The sequence below is a fragment of the Homo sapiens genome, chromosome 12 (assembly GCF_000001405.40).
Source record: "Homo sapiens chromosome 12, GRCh38.p14 Primary Assembly".
NCBI classification, from domain to species: Eukaryota; Metazoa; Chordata; class Mammalia; order Primates; family Hominidae; genus Homo; species Homo sapiens.
This window is the reverse complement of record NC_000012.12, coordinates 69,919,285-69,945,016: the sequence shown is the minus strand read 5'-3', so window position 1 is coordinate 69,945,016 and position 25,732 is coordinate 69,919,285. Positions and strand designations below refer to the sequence as shown.

At 40.4% G+C, this 25,732-nt stretch overlaps 1 protein-coding gene across 1 annotated transcript in view, besides 2 other annotated features; it reads right to left on the bottom strand.

Moving 5' to 3' along the window:
• The window catches only part of MYRFL (myelin regulatory factor like), a 133,871-nt gene that overhangs the window by 14,081 nt on the left and 94,058 nt on the right, over positions 1-25,732 (bottom strand). Inside the window, exons 14-19 of the mRNA NM_182530.3 lie at positions 18,283-18,446; positions 17,269-17,332; positions 12,419-12,504; positions 8,830-8,904; positions 8,682-8,734; positions 8,385-8,564 (exon numbers count right to left, since the gene is read on the bottom strand). Of these exons, the coding sequence (NP_872336.2) occupies positions 8,385-8,564; positions 8,682-8,734; positions 8,830-8,904; positions 12,419-12,504; positions 17,269-17,332; positions 18,283-18,446 (622 nt within the window). The remainder of the gene's footprint in view (positions 1-8,384; positions 8,565-8,681; positions 8,735-8,829; positions 8,905-12,418; positions 12,505-17,268; positions 17,333-18,282; positions 18,447-25,732) is intronic.
• Positions 5,404-6,031: an enhancer, noted in NCBI's record as "OCT4-NANOG-H3K27ac-H3K4me1 hESC enhancer chr12:70332766-70333393 (GRCh37/hg19 assembly coordinates)". NCBI's record gives its function as "activates a minimal SCP1, AML or CMV promoter by ChIP-STARR-seq in naive H9 embryonic stem cells {active_cell/tissue: H9 hESC(naive)}" and the evidence as "EXISTENCE:reporter gene assay evidence [ECO:0000049][PMID:30033119]".
• Positions 12,211-12,906: an enhancer, noted in NCBI's record as "OCT4-NANOG-H3K27ac hESC enhancer chr12:70325891-70326586 (GRCh37/hg19 assembly coordinates)". NCBI's record gives its function as "activates a minimal SCP1, AML or CMV promoter by ChIP-STARR-seq in naive H9 embryonic stem cells {active_cell/tissue: H9 hESC(naive)}" and the evidence as "EXISTENCE:reporter gene assay evidence [ECO:0000049][PMID:30033119]".

Sequence of the window (25,732 nt, the reverse complement as noted above, 5' to 3'; positions counted from 1 at the left end):
CATTTTAAATATCTATTTTATTTTCGTTAAAAAAATTTGTATTAATGAGTAGTGAATGTACATCATGGTAATTTAATACAGTCATATAATGTATAAAGGTCATATTAGTGTAACTTGGGATATCCATCACTTTTTTAAAATTATACTTCAAGTTGTAGGATACATGTGCAGAACGTGCAGGTGTGTTACATAGGTATACACACGCCTTGGTGGTTTGCTGCACCCATCAACCCGTCATCTACATTAGGTATTTCTCCTAATGCTATCCCTCCCCTAGCCCAAGGGATATCCATTACTTTAAATATTTGTCTTTTCTTTTTTTTTCTTTTATTATTATACTTTAAGTTTTAGGGTACATGTGCACATTGTGCAGGTTAGTAACATACGTATACATGTGCCATGCTGGTGTGCTGCACCCACTAACTCGTCATCTAGCCTTAGGTATATCTCCCAATGCTATCCCTCCCCCCTCCCCCAACCCCACAACAGTCCTCAGAGTGTGATGTTCCCCTTCCTGTGTCCATGTGTTCTCATTGTTCAATTCCCACCTATGAGTGAGAATATGTGGTGTTTGGTTTTTTGTTCTTGCGATAGTTTACTGAGAATGATGATTTCCAATTTCATCCATGTCCCTACAAAGGACATGAACTCATCATTTTTTATGGCTGCATAGTATTCCATGGTGTATATGTGCCACATTTTCTTAATCCAGTCTATCATTGTTGGACATTTGGGTTGGTTCCAAGTCTTTGCTATTGTGAATAATGCCGCAATAAACATACGTGTGCATGTGTCTTTATAGCAGCATGATTTATAGTCCTTTGGGTATATACCCAGTAATGGGATGGCTGGGTCAAATGGTATTTCTAGTTCTAGATCCCTGAGGAATCGCCTCACTGACTTCCACAAGGGTTGAACTAGTTTACAGTCCCACCAACAGTGTAAAAGTGTTCCTATTTCTCCACATCCTCTCCAGCACCTGTTGCTTCCTGACTTTTTAATGATTGCCATTCTAACTGGTGTGAGATGGTATCTCATTGTGGTTTTGATTTGCATTTCTCTGATGGCCAGTGATGATGAGCATTTTTTCATGTGTTTTTTGGCTGCATAAATGTCTTCTTTTGAGAAGTGTCTGTTCATGTCCTTCATCCACTTTTTGATGGGGCTGTTTGTTTTTTTCTTGTAAATGTGTTTGAGTTCATTGTAGATTCTGGATATTAGCCCTTTGTCAGATGAGTAGGTTGCAAAAATTTTCTCCCATTTTGTAGGTTGCCTGTTCACTCTGATGGTAGTTTCTTTTGCTGTGCAGAAGCTCTTTAGTTTAATTAGATCCCATTTGTCAATTTTGGCTTTTGTTGCCATTGCTTTTGGTGTTTTAGACATGAAGTCCTTGCCCATGCCTATGTCCTGAATGGCAATGCCTAGGTTTTCTTCTAGGGTTTTTATGGTTTTAGGTCTAACATGTAAGTCTTTAATCCATCTTGAATTGATTTTTGTATAAGGTGTAAGGAAGGGATCCAGTTTCAGCTTTCTACATATGGCTAGCCAGTTTTCCCAGCACCATTTATTAAATAGGGAATCCTTTCCCCATTGCTTGTTTTTGTCAGGTTTGTCAAAGATCAGATAGTTGTAGATATGCGGCGTTATTTCTGAGGGCTCTGTTCTGTTCCATTGATCTATATCTCTGTTTTGGTACCAGTACCATGCTGTTTTGGTTACTGTAGCCTTGTAGTATAGTTTGAAGTCAGGTAGTGTGATGCCTCCAGCTTTGTTCTTTTGGCTTAGGATTAACTTGGCGATGCGGGCTGTTTTTTCGTTCCATATGAACTTTAAAGTAGTTTTTTCCAATTCTGTGAAGAAAGGCATTGGTAGCTTGATGGGGATGGCATTGAATCTGTAAATTACCCTGGGCAGTATGGCCATTTTCATGATATTGATTCTTCCTATCCATGAGCATGGAATGTTCTTCCATTTGTTTGTATACTCTTTTATTTCCTTGAGCAGCGGTTTGTAGTTCTTCTTGAAGAGGTCCTTCACATCCCTTGTAAGTTGGATTCCTAGGTATTTTATTCTCTTTGAAGCAATTGTGAATGGGAGTTCACTCATGATTTGGCTGTTTGTCTGTTGTTGGTGTATAGGAATACTTGTGATTTTTGCACATTGATTTTGTAGCCTGAGACTTTGCTGAAGTTGCTTATCAGCTTAAGGAGATTTTGGGCTGAGACAATGGGGTTTTCTAGATATACAATCATGTCATCTGCAAACAGGGACAATTTGACTTCCTCTTTTCCTATTTGAATACCCTTTATTTCCTTCTCCTGCCTAATTGCCCTGGCCAGAACTTCCAACACTATGTTGAATAGGACTGGTGAGAGAGGGCATCCCTGTCTTGTGCCAGTTTTCAAAGGGAATGCTTCCAGTTTTTGCCCATTCAGTATGATATTGGCTGCGGGTTTGTCATAGATAGCTCTTATTATTTTGAAATATGTCCCATCAATACCTAATTTATTGAGAGTTTTTAGCATGAAAAGTTGTTGAATTTTGTCAAAGGCCTTTTCTGCATCTATTGAGATAATCATGTGGTTTTTGTCTTTGGCTCTGTTTATATGCTGGATTACATTTATTGATTTGCATATATTGAACCAGCCTTGCATCCCAGGGATGAAGCCCACTTGATCATGGTGGATAAGCTTTTTGATGTGCTGCTGGATTCGGTTTGCCAGTATTTTATTGAGGATTTTTGCATCAGTGTTCATCAAGGATATTGGTCTAAAATTCTCTTTTTTGGTTGTGTCTCTGCCCGGCTTTGGTATCAGAATGATGCTGGCCTCATAAAATGAGTTAGGGAGGATTCCCTCTTTTTCTATTGATTGGAATAGTTTCAGAAGGAATGGTACCAGTTCCTCCTTGTACCTCTGGTAGAATTCGGCTGTGAATCCATCTGGTCCTGGACTCTTTTTGGTTGGTAAGCTATTGATTATTGCCACAATTTCAGATCCTGTTATTGGTCTATTCAGAGATTCAGCTTCTTCCTGGTTTAGTCTTGGGAGAGTGTATGTGTCCAGGAATTTATCCATTTCTTCTAGATTTTCTAGTTTATTTGCGTAGAGGTGTTTGTAGTATTCTCTGATGGTAGTTTGTATTTCTGTGGGATCGGTGGTGATATCCCCTTTATCATTTTTTATTGCATCTATTTGATTCTTCTGTCTTTTTTTCTTTATTAGTCTTGCTAGCGGTCTATCAATTTTGTTGATCCTTTCAAAAAACCAGCTCCTGGATTCATTAATTTTTTGAAGGGTTTTTTGTGTCTCTATTTCCTTCAGTTCTGCTCTGATTTCAGTTATTTCTTGCCTTCTGCTAGCTTTTGAATGTGTTTGCTCTTGCTTTTCTAGTTCTTTTAATTGTGATGTTAGGGTGTCAATTTTGGATCTTTCCTGCTTTCTCTTGTGGGCATTTAGTGCTATAAATTTCCCTCTACACACTGCTTTGAATGCGTCCCAGAGATTCTGGTATGTTGTGTCTTTGTTCTCGTTGGTTTCAAAGAACATCTTTATTTCTGCCTTCATTTCGTTATGTACCCAGTAGTCATTCAGGAGCAGGTTGTTCAGTTTCCATGTAGTTGAGCGGTTTTGAGTGAGATTCTTAATCCTGAGTTCTAGTTTGATTGCACTGTGGTCTGAGAGATAGTTTGTTATAATTTGTGTTCTTTTACATTTGCTGAGGAGAGCTTTACTTCCAACTATGTGGTCAATTTTGGAATAGGTGTGGTGTGGTGCTGAAAAAAATGTATATTCTGTTGATTTGGGGTGGAGAGTTCTGTAGATGTCTATGAGGTCCGCTTGGTGCAGAGCTGAGTTCAATTCCTGGGTATCCTTGTTGACTTTCTGTCTCATTGATCTGTCTAATGTTGACAGTGGGGTGTTAAAGTCTCCCATTATTAATATGTGGGAGTCTAAGTCTCTTTGTAGGTCACTCAGGACTTGCTTTATGAATCTGGGTGCTCCTGTATTGGGTGCATATATATTTAGGATAGTTAGCTCTTCTTGTTGAATTGATCCCTTTACCATTATGTAATGGCCTTCTTTGTCTCTTTTGATCTTTGTTGGTTTAAAGTCTGTTTTATCAGAGACTAGGATTGCAACCCCTGCCTTTTTTTGTTTTCCATTTGCTTGGTAGATCTTCCTCCATCCTTTTATTTTGAGCCTATGTGTGTCTCTGCACATGAGATGGGTTTCCTGAATACAGCACACTGATGGGTCTTGACTCTTTATCCAATTTGCCAGTCTGTGTCTTTTAATTGGAGCATTTAGTCCATTTACATTTAAAGTTAATAGTGTTATGTATGAATTTGATCCTGTCATTATGATGTTAGCTGGTTATTTTGCTCGTTAGTTGATGCAGTTTCTTCCTAGCCTCGATGATTTTGCAGTGGCTGGTACCGGTTGTTCCTTTCCATGTTTAGCACTTCCTTCAGGAGCTCTTTTAGGGCAGGCCTGGTGGTGACAAAATCTCTCAGCATTTGCTTGTCTGTAAAGTATTTTATTTCTCCTTCACTTATGAAGCTTAGTTTGGCTGGATATGAAATTCTGGGTTGAAAATTATTTTCTTTAAGAATGTTGAATATTGGCCCCCACTCTCTTCTGGCTTGTAGTGTTTCTGCCGAGAGATCCGCTGTTAGTCTGATGGGCTTCCCTTTGAGGGTAACCCGACCTTTCTCTCTGGCTGCCCTTAACATTTTTTCCTTCATTTCAACTTTGGTGAATCTGACAATTATGTGTCTTGGAGTTGCTCTTCTCGAGGAGTATCTTTGTGGTGTTCTCTGTAGTTCCTGAATCTGAACGTTGGCCTGCCTTGCTAGATTGGGGAAATTCTCCTGGGTAATATCCTGCAGAGTGTTTTCCAACTTGGTTCCATTCTCCCCATCACTTTCAGGTACACCAGTCAGACGTAGATTTGGTCTTTTCACATAGTCCCATATTTCTTGGAGGCTTTGCTCATTTCTTTTTATTCTTTTTTCTCTAAACTTTCCTTCTCACTTCATTTCATTCATTTCATCCATTTCATCTTCCATTGCTGATACCCTTTCTTCCAGTTGATCGCATCGGCTCCTGAGGCTTCTGCATTCTTCACGTAGTTCTCGAACCTTGGTTTTCAGCTCCATCAGCTCCTTTAAGCACTTCTCTGTATTGGTTATTCTAGTCATACATTCTTCTAAATTTTTTTCAAAGTTTTCAACTTCTTTGCCTTTGGTTTGAATGTCCTCCCGTAGCTCAGAGTAATTTGATCGTCTGAAGCCTTCTTCTCTCAGCTCGTCAAAGTCATTCTCCGTCCAGCTTTGTTCCGTTGCTGGTGAGGAACTGTGTTCCTTTGGAGGAGGAGAGGCGCTCTGATTTTTAGAGTTTCCAGTTTTTCTGTTCTGTTTTTTCCCCATCTTTGTGGTTTTTTTCTACTTTTGGTCTTTGATGATGGTGATGTACAGATGGGTTTTTGGTGTGGATGTCCTTTCTGTTTGTTAGTTTTCCTTCTAACAGACAGGACCCTCAGCTGCAGGTCTGTTGGAGTACCCTGCCGTGTGAGGTGTCAGTGTGCCCCTGCTGGAGGGTGCCTCCCAGTTAGGCTGCTCGGGGGTCAGGGGTCAGGGACCCACTTGAGGAGGCAGTCTGCCCGTTCTCAGATCTCCAGCTGCGTGCTGGGAGAACCACTGCTCTCTTCAAAGCTGTCAGACAGGGACATTTAAGTCTGCAGAGGTTACTGCTGTCTTTTTGTTTGTCTGTGCCCTGCCCCCAGAGGTGGAGCCTACACAGGCAGGCAGGCCTCCTTGAGCTGTGGTGGGCTCCACCCAGTTCGAGCTTCCTGGTTGCTTTGTTTACCTAAGCAAGCCTGGGCAATGGTGGGCGCCCCTCCCCCAGCCTCGCTGCCGCCTTGCAGTTTGATCTCAGACTGCTGTGCTAGCAATCAGCGAGACTCCATGGGGTAGGACCCTCCGAGCCAGGTGCGGGATATAATCTCGTGGTGCGCCATTTTTTAAGCCCGTCGGAAATGCGCAGTATTCGGGTGGGAGTGACCCGATTTTCCAGGTGCCATCCGTCACCCCTTTCTTTGATTAGGAAAGGGAACTCCCTGAACCCTGCGCTTCCCGGGTGAGGCAATGCCTCGCCCTGCTTCGGCTCGCGCACGGTGCGCGCACCCACTGACCTGCGCCCACTGTCTGGCACTCCCTAGTGAGATGAACCCGGTACCTCAGAGGGAAATGCAGAAATCACCCGTCTTCTGCATCGCTCAGGCTGGGAGCTGTAGACCGGAGCTGTTCCTATTCCTATATCTTTATTTTATAAGCTTTTTTTATTTAAAATTTTTTTTTACTTTTAAACCTTTTCATTAAAAACTAAAGTGCAAATATACACATTAGCCTGGCCTGTACAAGGTCAGGATCATCAAGACATCACCAGGCAATAATAATTTTTCAGCTCAATTATTATCTTATGGGGCCACTAGTGTATATATGGTCCATTGTTGACTGAAACATCATTATGTGGCACATGACTATATTCCCTTGATGTGAACAGCTGGTTACTTCAGGAATGAACTTGTTCAGAGGTCAAGAAACCCTTGAAAATGAAGAGTGGACCAGTCTACGACCTCTTCCTATTCAGGATCTGTTATTAGTACATCTCTCATAGGTGAGATGGTCTCTTCTGAGGACTGCTTTGAGAAAAGAACATCAAGTGTCTCCAGCATGGGCTCCCAAAGTAAGAAAAGTGTTTACCAGCCACAAGGTTCCATGTGCTTTCACAAGGGATAAAAGCCTTGGGGATTTCTGTGATAGTTCTAGATTTTTTCATATTTAAAAATATTGAGAATAAGATGACTGAAATGAATTCCTTTCTTTAAAATGAAGTTTTTAGTTCTACTCCATAGTGATGCATCTGCTCCTAAGTTCAATCAAAAATAGTTTTCATGAGAAAAGCTCATTGTCTCCTATTGCTGTAGTGAAAGAACTCTCTGTGTCTCAGCTTCCCCACTGGAAAAAAAAATTGGGATAATAAAAGCACCTCGTTTGTAGGCTTGTGAAGATTAAATGATTTACTCATGTAAACTACTTATGACAGTACCTAGCGTAGAGTAATACCTCATTACAACATGATAATCATGATGATGATGACAATTTGTAAAAGTTATTTAACCAAGACTAGGATATGCAATAATGTCAAAAGGGAAAGGAAATTACATTGCACCCCAACATTTCAACCACTGACCATATTCTATGTAGGTCATGAGCACCACTTATAAGTATTCTGGTTCATCTTCTCCATACATGTTAGATCTGTTCTTCCCCATCCGTTTAAAAATTAGACATGACCAATGTGACGTGACTTGCTTTGGCCAATGAAGTATAAGCAGAGGTGATATGTGTTATACATAGGTGGAAGCTTTAAGAGTCGGAACATAATTTGCCTTGTTCTTTTACCACTACTACGGAGACTGTGGAAATAATTATTGTGATGGAATCTTCATCAGCTGGACTTTAAATGACATGATGACCAAGAACTGTCTTTTGATTCACATTTAATATATAGAGTGACTCAGAATTAAATTGTTGCCATAAAGAAGCCACTGTTATTTAAGAGTTGTTGTTATGACAGTATCCTAATCAATAAGCCATAGTAATATGTATCCTTATTAGCATCATCATTAATATTACTATTTATTAATATGTATATATAGAATAAAATTTCTAAAAACAATAATAAATTAGTATACATTTGGAAGACTTGTATGTAATCTTATGGATATGATTACACTTGCAGCCCTTGATTAAGTTTCTATACTTTTTTTTACCATGAAAATTGTGTTACTTGAATAACATTGGTATGTATGTATGTGTGTGTGTGTCCCTAGGAGGAAGAGGAAAGTTATTCTGAAAGTGGAATGCCAGTCTTGTGTTTTTCACTGCCTTAAATCTCACCCTGAACTCTAAATTAGAGTTTCCAAAGTCTCTTACATTTTGCCCTAGTCAGTTTAGGCAGAGAGCCCAGATACCACATCATTTTTTAAACTCTAAATGAGCCCAAAAAATCCACCCACGTGCATGTAATTACTTCGCTTGTGCTACTATTACTATCCTTGTTGGCAATGGACAAATGAGAACCTTTCACTTGGTGAAAATTATAAGTACTTGAATCAACCAAAATTTCATTCCTGGGCAAGGAACTCAATATTACAGATGATTGGCAGTTGTGTATTTGTGTTTTAAAGATTTTGCCACCCCAAATAGAAGCATGGAACCATTATCTGGAACCATTAATGACCATCTAAGTAAATTGTGACAAGAAAAACAACCTCAAGTTCAAAGCTCTAGTTGTTTCTCTTTGAACATCATTTACCTGACCATCGCCTCTGATGGAATTCCTTCTCCTCAGATTGTCTTTGCACAGGACTTGAAGAGACTTCTTTCATTCCCCGGATGGGGCAGCAATAAGTCTCCTGACACGGCAGGATTTCACAGAAAGTAATTTCAGGTACTTGTAAGGAGGCCGGTGTGGTTACCAGGGATGTATTAGGTGCTGCAAGGCATTGGGCAGGGGGGAGGGGAAGCAAGAAGGTTAACCTGAAAGGCTGGTTTCTTCTGTTAACAGTTCACTTGAAACCGGGTTTGAGGGTGAGGAATGTGAAGCCTTTACCTGAGGAGGAGGCTGTGGGCAGCAGAGCTGGCTCCTGTGAGCTTGTGATATTGCTGGAGAAAAAGAATGAAATGATTAATGAAAGAGGGCTGCAAAAATCCTTCTCTCCAAAGGAATTTTAGGCCAGAAAATTGAACTGAACTCTCACCTTGGAGGGAGATTTGGGACACGTCGGTCTTGATCTTTTAAGCTAAGTATATAGAGGGCAACTATCGTCAAAGCACTGTCAAAAAAAAAAAAAAAAAAAAAAAAAAAAACATTATGTGGCAGATTTGTTTCCAGATATATCTCACACATCCAGCTGGCCAGAGATGTACTCTCACAGGCCACACAGATGGGAGCAGGGGGGAGGGGATGGCCACGGCTGACAGAAACACCATGGAAACCAGCACAGTTATGCTTTTCTGCCCTGGAGAGAAAAAGAGCTCAGAGGCTCCTAGGTATTCCATGCTGATGGATTTTTCCACATAGAGCAGCCCCCCAGCCCTGGCAAGCTGTCTCAGAGGTGCCTGTCACTAGTGGAAGATTACAAGAGGAAGCATGTAAGTTGCTGGAGGCAACTGCTCCTTGCAGGAAAGAGTCAGAGCACAGTTTGCGTGCCACCGGTGGAGGGCATTGGCACTGTCGCATTGGGAGATGGAAGGCGGCACAGGTCTAGTCAGCTGTGGATGCCAAACCCTCTGGCTGCTTCTCTGACATCTTCCTTCCGGCTGCCTGTCTTTTCAGAGCACAATACGCTGAACAGGTCAGAGGAAGGAAAAGAACTGCAAGAAAGTATTTGTTTCCACACTGTGAGACTTCAAAAATAACGAGGGTGTCTTCTCCCCCATCACTGGAACTTACATAAACAAATGGAAGCTTTCCTTAAGAGTTCCGAGCCTTGGGAAGCTATTCCCAACAATCCTCATGCATCCAAATACTTAGTGTTCTCCTCTTTGGGGGACATCTTCAGAACCCTCTCACAAGTCACACAGAAAGTCTGCTGATGGCTTTACAGCACTGTTTTGTGCTAGGCTTGAAAGAGTTACCTGACTTGACTTCTTGCCAGTTTGACTTCACACCTGGTTCTCCAAACTTGACTCCTCATTATTTTGCTTCCCATCAAAGGTGCTGGATTTACCATCATTAGGATACACAAAAAAAAACTGTGCCATATGTGCTTATAAAGAACAAATTCCCAAAGTGTTCTCAGCAGCAGCTGGTTGCTGCCCAGCAGGCACAGCCCTGCCTGGGAAAAGTGATGATGAACCCCAAAGATGCTGTCAGAGAGAGTTTATAGTGTCATCGTGGCAACTGTTTGCTGTGGTCCAGTTAATAGAGGCAGGAGGCAGAGAAATCCTAGCCAAACAGGGTTGGGTCCCCAGTGAAACCCCACCTTCAAGCCAAAACCAGCCTGAAACCCACAGCCCAGAGTGAGAACTTCTATTCCTGTTTTTTTCCCACTCTCTCCCAAGTGGGTCTTTCTGAATAATGCCTTTCAACCAATCAAATGTTGCCTTTTCCAATACTACCTATGGCCTGCCGTGCCCCTATCCTGTGCCTATAAAAACATCAGCCTCAGTCAGTAGAGACAGAGATAACCTGAATTTGGGGAAGAGATGACCTGACTTCAGGGAAGAGACAACCTGACTTCAGGAAAGACGACCTGAACTTTCTGTCCCTTTTTCAGCTCCCCTCTTTGCTGAGAGCTGTTTTCTTTGCTCAATAAAATTCTCTGCTTTCATCACTCTTCAATCAATCATCAGTGTGACCTCATTCTTCTCAGACGCTGGACAAGAGCTTGGGACTCACCGAGCATGGGTACCCAGAAAGGCTGTGTCATTGGCCCTTTGCCTTCACCAGTGGAGGGCAGCTGCCCCATGTGACAAAGCCAGGACACTCTGCTGTTCATTGGGCTGCAGATGGCAGAGCTAAAAACACTAATTAGCACCCTAACACCCCCTCTGGGGCTTCAGGGTCCCAGGCACCCTCACCAGGGCACTGCCCCATTCCCCTTGGGGTGACATGCCTGGACTGGCCATGAGCCCTGCATGGAGATTGCTCCTGTATCAGCACCTGGAGTGGCCGACCAAACCCTGCACTCACTCTCTCATGTGCTCCCACTCAGCTGACCACAGCGGGCCAAGTAGATGGGGCACCACTGCTGTGAGTCCAGCGAAAAGGCTGAGAAAAGTCCTGTGTCACAGTCTCCCCTTCTTTGTTCTCCTACCTCTCCCACTCTCCATCTCCCCATTCCAATTCTAAAATACTCTTTATGATTTGTGTCCAGCATCTGCCTCAACGCATAGCCCAGAAAACTTCTAGGACCATATAATGAAATGGACACATCTGTTCCATTCTTCGGGGGCAAACCCTGGTTTTGACCCTACTCAGGTATACCACAGGCCAGAGGCAAGATAACAAACCCAATACCTACCATCTACAGTCTTAGTGGTAAACAGTATTGGAAAAAATAAGACGACCTAATAAGCATGTTTAAAAAGCAGTCTCTTTACCTTACAATTAGACTTCTTATAACTTTTCCACCGGGCTGGGAATCTGTGTCTCTAGAGAATACTAAGGATGTCCACTAAGATAGAGGTTCACACTCTCCTGAGTTGGGAATCCCAGCAGGAGAAGACAGGCACACTTGGGAGACTAAGAAAAGTGCAAAGGTTTCTAATGGGAATTCTAGGTAGTCGTGTCAAATTATCTCCCTACAGTGGGCAGTAGCAAGTCAAAAGCAAAAACACTAAGGAACAAGAAGGGCACAGATAAAGCTACACTATCTTCTGTAGCTAGGATGCTGCTTTAGGTCAAGGAACTGGAAGCACCTTGAGACCACAGCTTGCTTTGCCCCTGAGAATAATTGTCTCCCCTAAGACGGGCCCCAGAAGCCAGTCCTTTCCCATGCTAACAAACAAAGCATTTTTTGAGTGACAGATAAATACCCTTTCACCATATGAATAGTCAGACTAAGAAAAAAACAGGTGCACTCAAAGGCCCAGAGAAGACGGGCAAGAGAACACAGCAAGATGACCAGGTTTCAAAGGCCCAGTGTGGTGGGGGAGGGGAATCATAGCAGCAGAAGCCTAGAGGCCTGAGAAAGGGCCCTGCATTCTAGCAAAGGCTGCCTCCCGCCTTTGCGGGCTGCAGAGGCGGGATGGTGTCAAAAGTTGCCCAATTTGCATAGCAAATACTGCTGTCCTCACTGTATTTGCTTGGTTTAACTGCTTAGTAGATTTGGCTACAATTCCATCACATGGTATATCTTGGTGTCCCTTTGGTGAAAAGTCTTCACTGAAGAATCCAGAAGAGTTACCATAAATATGAGTGACCAGGGGAGAGTGGATTATACTTGATTTCCTATTTACTTCTTTCTCCAAGGTCAACAGAAAAGAAAACAGAGTTTGAGAAAACTCTTTGTTTGCAAAGCTAAGAAAGACATACACACATACACACACACACACACAAACACACACACACACACACACGAAAGGCACAGTTTGCTGCTAAACATAGCAGTTAATTGAAAAAAAATCATGTCACATTTAAGGCAGAAAGCCTGTGCTTTTTTCTTCAAAATAAGAGTTTTCAAAAAAGGTTCCCTCATTTCTATGCTATCAGAGTTCAGTGTCTAGTTTAAAGGGCTTCTTGTCTTCAAAGTAAACAGGCCAGTCCCCAGTTCATATGTGATAAAAGAAACATGGGAAGGAACAAAAGAGCTTGACATGGCATAACAGTGAACTTTTTCTTACCAAAATGCCATCACAGCAATCAGAGTTATAACCAAGGTCTGGAAAACCCAATTAGGACACGCCTGTCTTTTTCCTGAAAAATAAACCTATAAAAAGGTTCAGTAATGAGCAGTGATAAATTAGCAACTCTAACTGTGAGAAGGGAGCCTGGAGAACTGCTCCCAGCAGGGGTATTTGCTGCTCTCTTGGGATAGTTTGAGTGCTTGCCTCAATTTACATCTCTTTCCTCCTCCCTGCCTCTCTGAAAACAACATTCTTTCAAAGTCTATCTCAAGTACCTCCCTTTCCTTGAAATTCCAAGCTACAGCAATCTCCCTTTTCCCAGACATCCTGCAGACAATGATCTTTGCCATTCATTGGGCACTTACTTATCTTTGCAGTTTTATGAGAAACGGGGACCTGAGATGAGATGTTGTCAGACCACAGATGATGTGCATCTCTTTGAGTAGGATACTTTTGAAAATCAAAAGATCTTCAAGACATGAAGAGATGAATTCCAATGGAATGATTTCGGGTATCATGACAAATTATGAAAAAGGTTTTTATAGAATGAAATCCCACTAAACACTTTTTAAAATTATAACACCAGTATTCAATTTGTCACCTGTATATACAGATATCTCTGGGCCTGTGTCTTATTTGTTCTCATATTCATTCAACAATATTTATTGAGCAGTATTATGTACAACACTATAGGAGACATGAAAATCAGTAAATTATAGTCTCCAGGACGTGAATGAGACAAAACTTTAGGACTGATACATATTGGTATAAAAACTTGCATATGGGGAACAGGCCAAGAGCTGCAGAATAACAGCTGTGGAACTGCTGGGGAATCTGGCTGAAGAGATAGAAGTTTTCTGCCCACTTAAATGAGGTGCTACTTAAATATGAGTTTCCTATAAATGCAATAAGGAGTATTATATCTGCTTGCTTCCGGGGAATTTGGGATAGAGTCATGCTTTTGGTTATTAGGGTATTAGAATAAGGTAGTAATAGTTTTAAATTGGTTCTTGGTTTAATTTATTGGGTAGAATAAGGTGGTAATAATTTTAAATTGGTTCTTGGCTTAATTTATTGGGCTAGTTATCTGACTAAAGTAAATGTTCTTCAATGTAACATAGGGTAGGGGCATAGGATTCACTATACCATTTTTACCAAGTACACAGACCCTTAGGGCTATTGTAACTGAGTCATCTGTAAGTACAGCTGGAAGCTGCTCTGATGACCAAGAAGTCAATGGTTTATACTGTTCTGAGGTCTCACAGAAACTGTTCGGAGGACGTCTTAATAGTGTACTGCACAGAGAAGAAACTCAATGAAATTTGTTGAATTGACTGGAATTAAATAGGATTAGTCTCAGGGTAAGTGCTTTCCCCTTCAACCTACCCCCACAGCTGCTGAATTATTTTAAGTCTCCATGCTTTTCCTCAAAATCCTTTGACCTAATATAGAGAAATGGCCTAAGACCTGGAGTCAGACTTAGAGTTGAGTCTTCAAGTTATCTAAATGTTATTGATCCTCATTTTCTTTATCAGTAAAATAGGAATAATAAAATAATGCCTGCCTACTTTTTGGAGTTATTAGGCATATCCAATGAACAGTGTAATGGCTCTCAAATTAAGGTGTGCATAGAATTACTATGGTGCTTGAGAAAACCCTAAATGCCCTACATGTAAAATTCTGATTCAATAGGTTTTATTTGGGGGAGGGTAGGGACTGGGAACCTGTAAGAGGTAGGACAATAAAAAGTATTTATCCGTGTTCTTTTTTTTTTTTTTTTTTCTTAGATAGGGTCTTGCTTTGTCACCAATGCTGGAGTGCAATGGCATAATTTTGCCTCACTGCAGCCTCTACCACCTGGGCTCAAGCGATCCTCCCACCTCAGCCTCCCTAGTAACTACAACTATAGCCACCAAACCCAGTTAATTTTTTAATTTTTTGTAGCTATGGGGTCTCACTGTGTTGTCCAGGCCAGTCTTGAACTCCTGGGCTCAAGTGATCCACCCACTCTGGCCTCCCAAAGTATTAAGATTACAAGCATGAGCCACCATGCCCAGCCGTCTTCATTCTTTCCCTTTCCCTCTCCTCCTCCAAATAGTCAGTGAATTCTTATTTGAACCCTGGGGAGCTTCCTATCTCATCCTGAGTCCTACGTATAGCAAGAATGACCCACCTACCTCTTGGAGGTGGAGAAAGAGAGGGAAAAAAGAGGAACCCTACTGACTGAATGAGAGCTACATCAGGAGACTTCAATCTTCCTCCAGAATGAACACCATCTTGGCCAGCATTGGGAGCTGTGTGGAAGTAAAGGCAGGGCCCAGCCAGGCTTCTTACCAGCTGGTAAGACCCACTAACTGCTCACAGCATCAATTTGCTCATTAACAAGACCCCCACCCTACCCCAGAATACCACTCCCCACTCACACACAAGCATTTCCATGACCCACAGAGTCCCCAAGGAACAGAGGACAACTAGGAGATGAGTCGTGGCATGGAAGGAAAAGTCAACCTCACAGGAAGAGCTCAGATCTGTTAGCAGGTCAGCACAGAGGGAGCAAGCACTTTGGTTATTTGTGTTTTATTGAGCTCCCTGGACAAGTCTGAAATGAGATTCACTAAAATATTGAGTTTGAACACATTAATAACAACCTATTATGCAGCACTTTCTATGTGCCATGCACCCTTCTAAGTGCTTTACATCTATCAATTTATTTAATCCTCACAATAATCCTCTACAACCCTATGAAGCAAGTACCTTTATCAATCCCATTTTAAAAATAGGGAAAATGAGACACGGGGAAGGCTAAGTTTCACTCGAGATCACACAGCTAATGAATCACACAGCCAGGAATTTGAACCCCACAAAAATTGGCTCCAGAATCTATGCTCTTAACCACAGTGCTATGCTGCCTCCTTTTTACTATCTGTTTTTAAAGAAGGGAAACTATACAACTTAGATATTGTTATTATTCAAAATGCCTTCACGGCTTCTTTATTTTCAGCTTCATCTTCCACTATCTTCCCTAAACAAACAACTCCCACCTAATCCTTCAAGGAAGCCAGTTCTAGCCACCAGACTTTCATTTATGCCATTCCATCTGTAACTTCTCCTTCAATTTCATTGATGTCTAGCCAAAGCTTACTCCTCCTTTAAGGCTCAACTCTCATAAACCTCCTGGCACTCTGAGCCTCTGCAGCATTGCTGACATCCAGGTACAACTGTTCTTTGTATTTTTTTCCAATCTTCCCTGGCTACAATGCAATTCCTTAGAAGAGACCTGACTCATCCTTTCTGCCTCCCACATGCCCTCTACAGTGACAGCAAGAGGTCTCTGAGTTGAACGGGTGCTCTTTAAGCCCTATATGAGTCCCTGACCCTGGGACCGCACCACAGCTTACACCCCACCCACATACCCAAGACACTGAGCCACTTAATGTTTTTTAATTTAAGTTGTCATACTTCTGGGAATATTTTCATACTGGGCTCTCCACTCATGTATTCATTTGATAAACGTTTCTTGAGTGCCTACTATGTGCTAGTCCCTAGTGACATGAGAGTGAGGAAGGCAGACACAGGGCCTGCTCTCATGAGCCATATATTCTAGTTAATATTCTGAGATAACTGCAAAATAAAGAGAATCTCTTATTTTGCAAGATGGGAGCTACAGAGATTGCAGGTGACCAAACTGCACCTATCAGGGCTGCCATAGATGTGGATACCATTCCCTCTGTCCCACTGAAAACTGTTTAGTCCAAAGGGTACCTTTCCTACATTCATGTTTTGTGTTTATTGACTAACCTACTATGTGCTGAGTGCTGTGCAAAGAGCTTTAGCTCCCCTAATCCTAATTTAAATCCCATCAACAATCTTTGTAAATACTATAATTGTCCCTATTTCCCAGTGTGGTTGAGTAACTTGCCCCAGAGCACTTCTACGTATATTTTTACCTGGGTATTTGTGTTTGTCAATACACTAAGGAGCTTGTCAGCTGCATAATACTTTACTTGTTTTTAGTAGAAGAATTTTGAACTCTTTCTGAATCCTTTTAGAATAATTCAACACAGTATAGCATGAGGAGTAGAGAGTAAACTGAGGCAGTGGCACAAGCATCAAGTCAACTTTTAATAGGGTGTCATTTAAGGTCATGGATATCTTCCCCAGGGAAGGGCCACCTTTGGGCCACTGCTGGATCAGAGGGAGCAAGCTGAGTTTTGTAGCTACTTACAAAGTGCTGCTAGAAAGGGTGTATTGCAGCTTCTTCCTTACTGATATTTCTCGTGATGGAGAGGGTGTCCTTCAAGTTAATAAATTATTAACCTTCGCTTTAACTATAAATACTATCCTACTTAATAAATGCTTTCTTTATTCACTAATAAAACCATCACATTTTAACCTTTGCCAGCAAGTGAATACCTATTCTTCCATTTGCATATTTAGTACCAAATATCAAAGGGAAAAGAGGGATTTGAGGATTAACTAAAGTCCCTTTGGGATCTCCTAAAGCCAAAGATAAGGGGGTGGCGGTCAAGGCATGTACATAGATCTGGCAGCACAAGGCCATCTGTATGACGAGGCTGCTGACTTTCACCTGAAGGGGACAACATAAACAAAAACTTGCAGATAATAATTCTGAGACTGACATATTCTGTACTCGTTTCTCTAAACTTTGCTTTTAAAAGCCATTTAATATGTACTAGAGGGCTAATATTTAAACACATATAGTACATAAGGATGCAAACTAGGGATTTTCTGAACAAAGAAATGAGAAAAAAATTCTTGACTGATTTCTCTAAAGACTTTTTAAGTAGAAAACATCATTTCCTTTCATTGTAAATGTGTCTATTTACCTTGTTGTTTTTTTTATGAACGGCCCTTCTTGGAGAAGATGCACTAACGGCTCTGCTAGATTTGCTTTAAAAGAGAGAGAAAATTGGTTACTATTCAAATACCTCTCCAGGAGATACATGACAAAGGCCCAGGCTGTCACTAACATAGCAATATGACTTTCTTTTGCAATACAGTGATATTTTGAAAACAAAAAGTCATGGCAATGGAGAGTTCCTTTTGTGAAAAGGAACTTTAGTAAGTATAACTGAATGAATTAAACATTGTATTTCTCTTTTTCTCAAAACTAAACCCCAGGAAATGTGCATTAACCTTCTTAAGCAATTAAAAAAAAAATAACAGAAAGTTTTCCCCCTGAGGACCAAACATGGTTTTCTAAATTTAGAAATGACCACTTCTCCTCATTAAAGGAGAAGCCACCCTTATGCTAAAATTTAGCACTTCCTATAACAACTGCTACTAAACAGATGTCTCATGGTTTTTTTCCACTTTTAAAACAGCAACAGGGCCGGGCGTGGTGGCTCACGCCTATAATCCCAGCACTTTGGGAGGCCGAGGTGGGTGGAACACCTGAGGTCAGGAGTTCAAGACCAGCCTGGCCAACATGGTCAAACCCTGTCTCTACTAAAAATACAAAAATTAGCCGGGCATGGTGGCGGGCACCTGTAATCCCAGCTACTCGGGAGGTTGAGGCAGGAGAATCCCTTGAATCTGGGAGAAGGAGGCTGCAGTGAGCCAAGATTGTGCCATTGTACTCCAGCCTGGACAACAACAGCAAAACTCAGGCTCAAAAAAAAAAAAAAAAAAAAAAAAAAAACCAGCAACAGAAAAAAACTAAGAAAGTTATCACATCAGACAATTGTGCTCCAAAATATTCTAAAAGAAAAATGCAGACTTCATTATCAGAAAGTAGCGGTTGCTGTTTGATCAAAAAGACCATTTAGATTGATCTTATTCTGGAAAGAGCTCACTCTCTCCTTTCCCCAAATTTCTATGGCAATCCTGGCTGCACGTACCTGATTGTGCTTGCTTCACTGGCTGATGACTTCCAACTACTGAGCCGCTTTAGCCGGGCCAGCTTTCTGTTCCATATTTCTAACTCTTCTATTCTTTCCTCAAGGTTGTTAGTTAGTTTGCACAGTTGCTTCACTGCACCTACATTTTCCATAAAGATCTGGTCCTAAAAGGGAAAAATCAAACAGAGTGCATAAATTAACAATTTGAGATCACTACAAAGCTGTCTACAGCCCATTCAAAGACAGCTGGATTATACTGTTGAAAATGGTTACAGACACACACATCTTCAAGTTCATTCAAGATAAATCTGGAGAGGTTTGAAACTGAACACAGTCTTGCTAAACTGCTGGCTGTGTAGTAAACTGCTTCTGTTCAATTTCCAATAAAGTGAAAATATGACCTTGTAACTCAAAAATGGAGCTGAAGGACATTGGCAAATCTGGAATTGAAAGATTTATTTTCAATGGCCATTATTCCATATTTAAAATTCTGAGGCAGGAGAATCACTTGAACCCCAGGAGGCGGAGGTTGCAGTGAGCTGAGATTGTGCCATTGCACTCCAACCTGGGAAACAAGAGTAAAACTCCATCTCAAAAAAAAAAAAAAAAAAAAAAAAGAAGAAGAAGAAAGAAAGTCAGAACAGTCTTCTGAATGATGTTGAATTGTCTGTTCATAACCAAAATTCATAGAAAATGACTCTAGTTCTCCCTAATAAAATACGCATCAAATTTCTCATGTGAGGGAAGAAGGAACAAAGACCTGGGCTTTTCTCTGAGTTCTGTCACCTGCTAGAAGTGAGACTCCAGACAAAATGCAATAACCTCTCTGTGCTTCCATTTCTTCATCTATAAATGAGAAGATAATTATTGAGGTGTCAATATCTGCTTCAAAATCCAATGAACTATTGTATACTGCTTATATTGTAGCCTAACTAAAAAAAAGCAATTTTTTTAAAGCACATATTTCTTCCTGTTCACAGAATGTCACTGACACATCAGAAAAAGAAAGGGGAGACCAACCAAACCCAGAGAGTCCAGGCCATCCTCTTCCCCACCCACACACTTCAGTTGTCATATGAACACATATGCCCATTTCTCAGCCATAACAAAAAGCCTGGAAAGCTCTTATCAACTCACATTCCAACCCCATGACCTCTCCTCCTATCTTTCTCTCTGTTTGCAAGTTCAAAATCCCACAGCACTTTCTGAATTGCAGAGAGGCTGGTCCAAGGCTGAGTTCAAGGGCAATAGAGACTGTTTTGTGGTTGAGGGTCAAACTCAGGGCTATGTGCCTTTGAGATTCTTATCATCCAAACTGAAGCTTTGAGGGTTTCGAACACTGTAGAGCAATCACTCAGAAAGAATCAAAAGCTGAACATTCCAGATTCAAGGCTTAGTGTACGCAGTTCAAAGACAGATGTATCTCATGATACACTGGAGAACTCTCTGAAACTCCCAGAGCAGCCACACAGATCTGTTGAGGCCCCCTGAACACCCTGCACTCTCCAGTGTCTGAGACCTCATTCCCATAATTACCTAAGATAAAAATGCCTTTCCTCAAGGCCAGTCCAAATCCCATCATACCCAGTATCTCCCCAGAGACCACTAGTCAGAGAGCATCCCTCACTCTACAGTGTCCTCAAAGCATGTTCAATTCTATCACCTGGCCATTTGCCTTGTATCAGGTGTTATATGTCTGTCTCCCACCTGGATCATGAGTTTGTGGCAGGCAGAATTATGTTGATTTATTTGCATATCTCACCAGCATTTAGCACATGCCTTTGCCCACTGGAAATGCTCAGTAAGAATGGACACAAGTGAATTGAAAAGTGCTATGAGTTAGCAGCTTAGAGAAGCAGAAAACCTTTGTATTTGGGATGTAAAATGACCAAAAGCTTGATTTCTGAGGCCTATGTTTGCTTCAAGAAAACTTACCAAAAAAACACAAAAAATCCAACAACAAAAAAAATCATACTTGTATCAGCTTTTCAAATGTCATCAGAAAACCCTATATTTTTCCTGAAGTCTTACCATACATCCTTCAAAATCCATCCAAATAACAAATTGATAAAACCATCTGGAGTAGAATTTAGCAATATCTAGCAAAATTACATATATTTTTATTTTTGAGCCAGTACACCCACTTCTAGGAGTCTATTCCACAGATCTCCTGGAGAAAATTAAGAAATAAAAGAGACCACAATCAAACAAAATGTCCATTAATAGGGGAATTGATAATAAACTGTGGTACATTTGCATAGCAGTATACTATGCAACTGTAAAAAGAAAGGAAGAATATCTCTATATACTGTTATGGAGCAAAGTCTGTAGTATAAGAAGAATACAAAACATGTCTACATTTTCTTACATTAATAAAATGAAGAATAAACAAAAACTAACTTAAAATTGTTACACATAATGGAAAGGAAGAAACAAGATGGGTGAAATGGATAGAACCCAGATTCTCTGAATGTATCCTGTTTTTATAAATTAACCTTTAGAATATGTGGGTATTTTACGATTTTTTTTTTTTTTTTTTTTTTTCTGAGACGGAGTCCTGCTGTGTCACCCAGGCTGGAGTGCAGTGGCATGATCTCGGCTCACTGCAAGCTCTGCCTCCCGGGTTCACACCATTCTCTTGCCTCAGCCTCCTGAGTAGCTGGGACTACAGGTGCCCACCACCACGCCCGGCTAATTTTTTGTATTTTTAGTAGAGACGGGGTTTCACTGTGTTAGCCAGGATGGTCTTGATCTCCTGACCTCGTGATCCACCCTCCTTGGTATCCCAGAGTGCTGGGATTACAGGCATGAGCCACTGCGCCTGGCCCATATGTAGGTATTTTAAATATGTATAAAAAATAAACAAAATTTTTAAAAACATCCCCTAGAAACAGAAGGCAAAATAAAACAAATAAGCCTAATTGGGTATTGAGTTTCTGGTTTAACCTTACAGTGAAGATTGACATTAAGTGACTTCAAAACATAGTAATTTGACTGCCCATTCCCAGAGAGATAGAGCCTAAAGACAAAAAATAAAAATTTAAAAAAAAAATCAACCAGCAAGGGAATCTTAAGCTTTTCAATAATCATACTGTTAGTAATAATAGTGATGGATTATACACACATAGATAGCACACATATATATTTGGATAAAACAAATACATAGTTAATAGTGCTATAAACCAAGATTTTTAGCATTTAAGAAAAGAGATATAAACATAAAATTAAAACATTTAGTAAAACCCTAGCAAATCTAAATTTAAGTTAGAAATATTACTATTAATTTCTGATATATTTTATTTCTTAAAAGAAAAAGACATTTTCTAGCTACATTAACTAAAAAGGACTGGAAAAAAACTTCCCACCTACTAACCATGAAGACTCCTCATTGTAGTCTCTAAATACCATTCCCAGTGAAAGGACCCAGATTTTGAGTACTTTTCCAGATTTGGGGTAAGATATGTCTGAGGTGAACCTGGAACATCTTTCAATATGAGAAAATAAGGAAGCTATCACAGAGTACTGTGGTTGGGTCAAAATGACTCAGGAGCTAACTGAAGAAGCTCTCATTGGCCAAAGATAGAACATTAAAGGGCTAATTACCATGATAGAACAAAGAATCAAATGTGCTTTAAAAGCATCCAAAATCCTATTCAATTTTTAAAAATAGTTTATTATTTACCTTTGGGAGACATTAAGGGCTTAACTCATTTTTTTTAAATCTTGTAAATAAAAGAATAAAACTTTGTCCTGCCTGTCCTATATAACATCTACATATTTGAAAGTTCATTTAAAAAGTATTCCAGATAATAAATTCCAGAGAATAAATGAAGAAGAAATGATAGAGTATCACTGTTTTCCAACACCTAATGAAACAATAGATCTAGGCAATAATCCTCAATGTCTACTAAAACTATTGCATGTATTTGTTTCTTTGTTTTATACATACACATGTAAAAACAATTGGGGAAATTTCAACACCAACTGGATTTGATAATATTAAGAAATTACTGTACATTTTTAGGTGTGATAATGTTATAGTGGTTCTGGTTTTAAGAGGTCATTTTTCTTTCAGAAAAAAGTATTGACAATATATAATAAAACAGTATGATGTTGGAGGTTGCTTTAAATAATCTAGTTGGTGGAAGAGGGTCGCTGGTGAGTGATTTAAATAAAATAAGATTGGACAAGAATTGAAATGAATAACTGGGGAATTTGAGTGAGGCATACATGGGGTTTCATTACTATTCTCTCTAGTTTTTTATACATTTGAAATTTTTCATTAAAAGTGTTTTTTTAAATCACAAAACAAAAACAAAAATCTCCTAACAAAAGCCCTTCTAAATTTTCTAATCCTGGTACAGGTTTTCCTTTACTTCTAAATTTGTTGTAATAAAAATAAGGCAGAAATTATGAAGATAGAAACAGCATTTTATGATTCTAAATCATGATAAATGTTAAATCATTATTTACTATGTTTACCCTGTAGAGAGCCTTATACTATAATTACAGCTGTATTATTTACAGTGGGTCACATGGTCAGCTGATGTCCACCAGCAGCCCAAAACAGATTTCCAGCCGTCCTCTCTAACCCCTCCCTGCACCCTGCTCACTGGCAGGCAATCTACCACGCAGGACTGTCAGTTCGGCATCCTAAATCTCCCAAAGCCACCCACTTCTCTCCATCCTCACTGACACTACTGATACTCTTTTTTTTCCCTTGGTAACCATCTCCTTCTTTAAAAAAAAATTGCTTAATACATTAATTTATGATTTAGCTCAAGCCAAAGCAGACTATGGAGAATTATAATAAAGTCCCCTCTAAACCGCAGAAAGTTCTTTCTGCAGTGTTTTCCTCAACAGGACTTTCAATACTGCCTCATAGGATACAAGCAATGGCTGCAATTGCCTGGTTACTTGTCAATAATGATAAAAGGCCAGGTTTAATTTCTCCAACTGAAATTTGCCAGTACCATATATCTTACAGGTAGATCCAATAGGTAAGGAGATAATTCATATATTTTCCTATTCAAGAGGAAATAAAAGTGGAGAGGAAATTTACTACCACTTTCCTGATTATAATTATGGCTGGCTCTGACTTTATGGATCCATCCAATAGAAAATTACCAAAAAGTAAATTTCTAATACATATTATAGGGGTTGACTCTTACTGAAATATTTGGAGTTCTGACTTCTGTCCCCCATTGTTACAGTAAATCCAGTATAAATATGTTCAAAACTATAATCTAGAGTTTTTCTGAAAATGTTCTTTTCTATGCAAGTGATTAGGTCTGTATGAGCAGATTTGAACCAAGAACCCATATCACAGATGCCTGAGGAAATTTTTTCTAAATACACATGTCTGGACCCCATGTAGAATCTTGGATTCATGGGCCAGACACATTAGCTCACACTTGTAATCCCAGCACTTTGGGAGGCCAGGGTGGGAGGACTGCTTGAGGCTAGGAGTTCGAAGACCAGCCTGGGCAACATAGAGAGACCCCAGCTCTACAAAAAAAAATGTTTTAAAGAAGCTTGGATTCATTAGGGCTGAGGGGCATTTTGAAAAGTCTCCCCATTTGATGCCCATCCTTGATGACTAACCATTTTGTAATTGAACCCAATTAATTACTCTACTTTGTCCAGCTATTAACAGTTTTAAATGGGGTCCACTACCTCAGCTGAAACACCACTCTACAGTTGTGATGTAAAAATGATTAAACCAGCTTGCCACCAAAATTTTCTAATGAGATTGTGAAGCAAAAGGTGGCAACTGCTTCAAATAACCTAAGAAACTTTTACTCACTGTTTGAGACTTGCTATGGAGTTAGGGTACATATGGACAGAATGAGCATGTTTTCTAAATGGGCACTAGAGGCAGTCCGGCAAGTGTATTGCACATGGAAACAATGGGAAAGCATTCATGAAATCAGAACTGTTAGTGAGCTCAGAGTGGGTATCCCTTATCTAAAACTCATCTTTCACTACAGCCCTCTTCACGCTCCATGCTCTCACCATATTGAACCATTTGCCATTCACTGAACATGGCAGGATTCCTCTAGCCTCTGGATCTAGCACATGCTGCTTCCTCTACCTGAATCACCTGTCCTCCCCTGCTCCCACCTTCCTTAAACTTGGTGTCAGATTTACCTAGAGAGTGGGCTCACCTGGACAGAGCTTATATTTCATCCATAGTTGCCACTCCAGCACAGACTAATAACTCAGTACACATTTGATGATTACATGAATAAATATTCTTACAGGTGGTTCATGGCACGAGGCACTGAAAGGTCATAGTGTTGCTCTCTAGAGAAATGAAGAGAGTACCAGTGTCTAGTTTATTCTTTTATCTGAAGTACCTCTCAGAGAAGCAAAAAACAAAACAAAACAGAACAAAAACAGAAACAAAGAAAACACCTAAGGTCCAAATTCCTTTTTCATATTGGGAAATGTCCATGGAAATGTGAGTGAATTAGATAAACACTAGTGTTTATCATCTAGGGCAATGGGCTGGTGATTCGATGATATCTAACAAACCAGCTTCTACTCAGGTTAGGTCCTGTCCTCTTTGCGAGGAGATTGGCTCAGGAAACAGATGAAAGCCCTTGAGTTCCCTCTCACCTCACCCACTTCAGGAAATCCCTGGACTCGGCAGAACACAGCTTGGAAGCTCCTGGGTCCATTGCAGGTCTAAAGATAATGTACCCAAGATATTGGGGCACAGCCAGGCAGAGGAGCTGATTTCTCCTCTCTTTGGAAGCTACAATTCATCCTTTATTTAGTGACACTGAGCGAGGGTAACTTAGCCTGATGGCAAAGCAAGCTTCAAGAAGTTGAAATAGGCCTTTCTTTCTTTCCTCATAAGAGAGCATTGCAGACTTGAAAATCTCTCCTTATGGTAAATGATGCATCTGGTGTTGCATGGACTGAGGTTGTATAATAAAACCATGGGAATAAAACAGCTTGTAATCGAGCATTGTAAAAATGATTGCCAACGGGAGAAAAACTGTCTTTAGCCAATGGGTGTGTCTGGCAATTGTTTGGGCTTTGAATAAACTCAGCTTTAGATTTTTGTCCAGGAGTTTATTTTGTGGAGAGCGTACTGGGCCCTGACATGGATTTAAAAACACAGAATCCTTAAACCAGAAAAGCAGGCTGCTGGGATGGTGTGGAAGCTCAGACTTCCAGGTGGCTTTTCAACAGGTCTCTGGAGGACAGACTTCCCTAGCATGTATATTTCTCTTGCAAACAGGACAAATCTTGGACTCATTTCTCTTCTGGTTTACATGGAAAGAGCACAAGATTCATAAAAGTGTTTAAAATTGTGTGCAATATTGTTGCCCTTTGTTTGCCTTAGAATCCTCGTTTAATTTTTGTTACTTTCATTTAAGTGCAATTTTCTGTGGAAAGGGCTTGAGTCTTTTGACGGAGACAAGTTTCCAGTTGAACT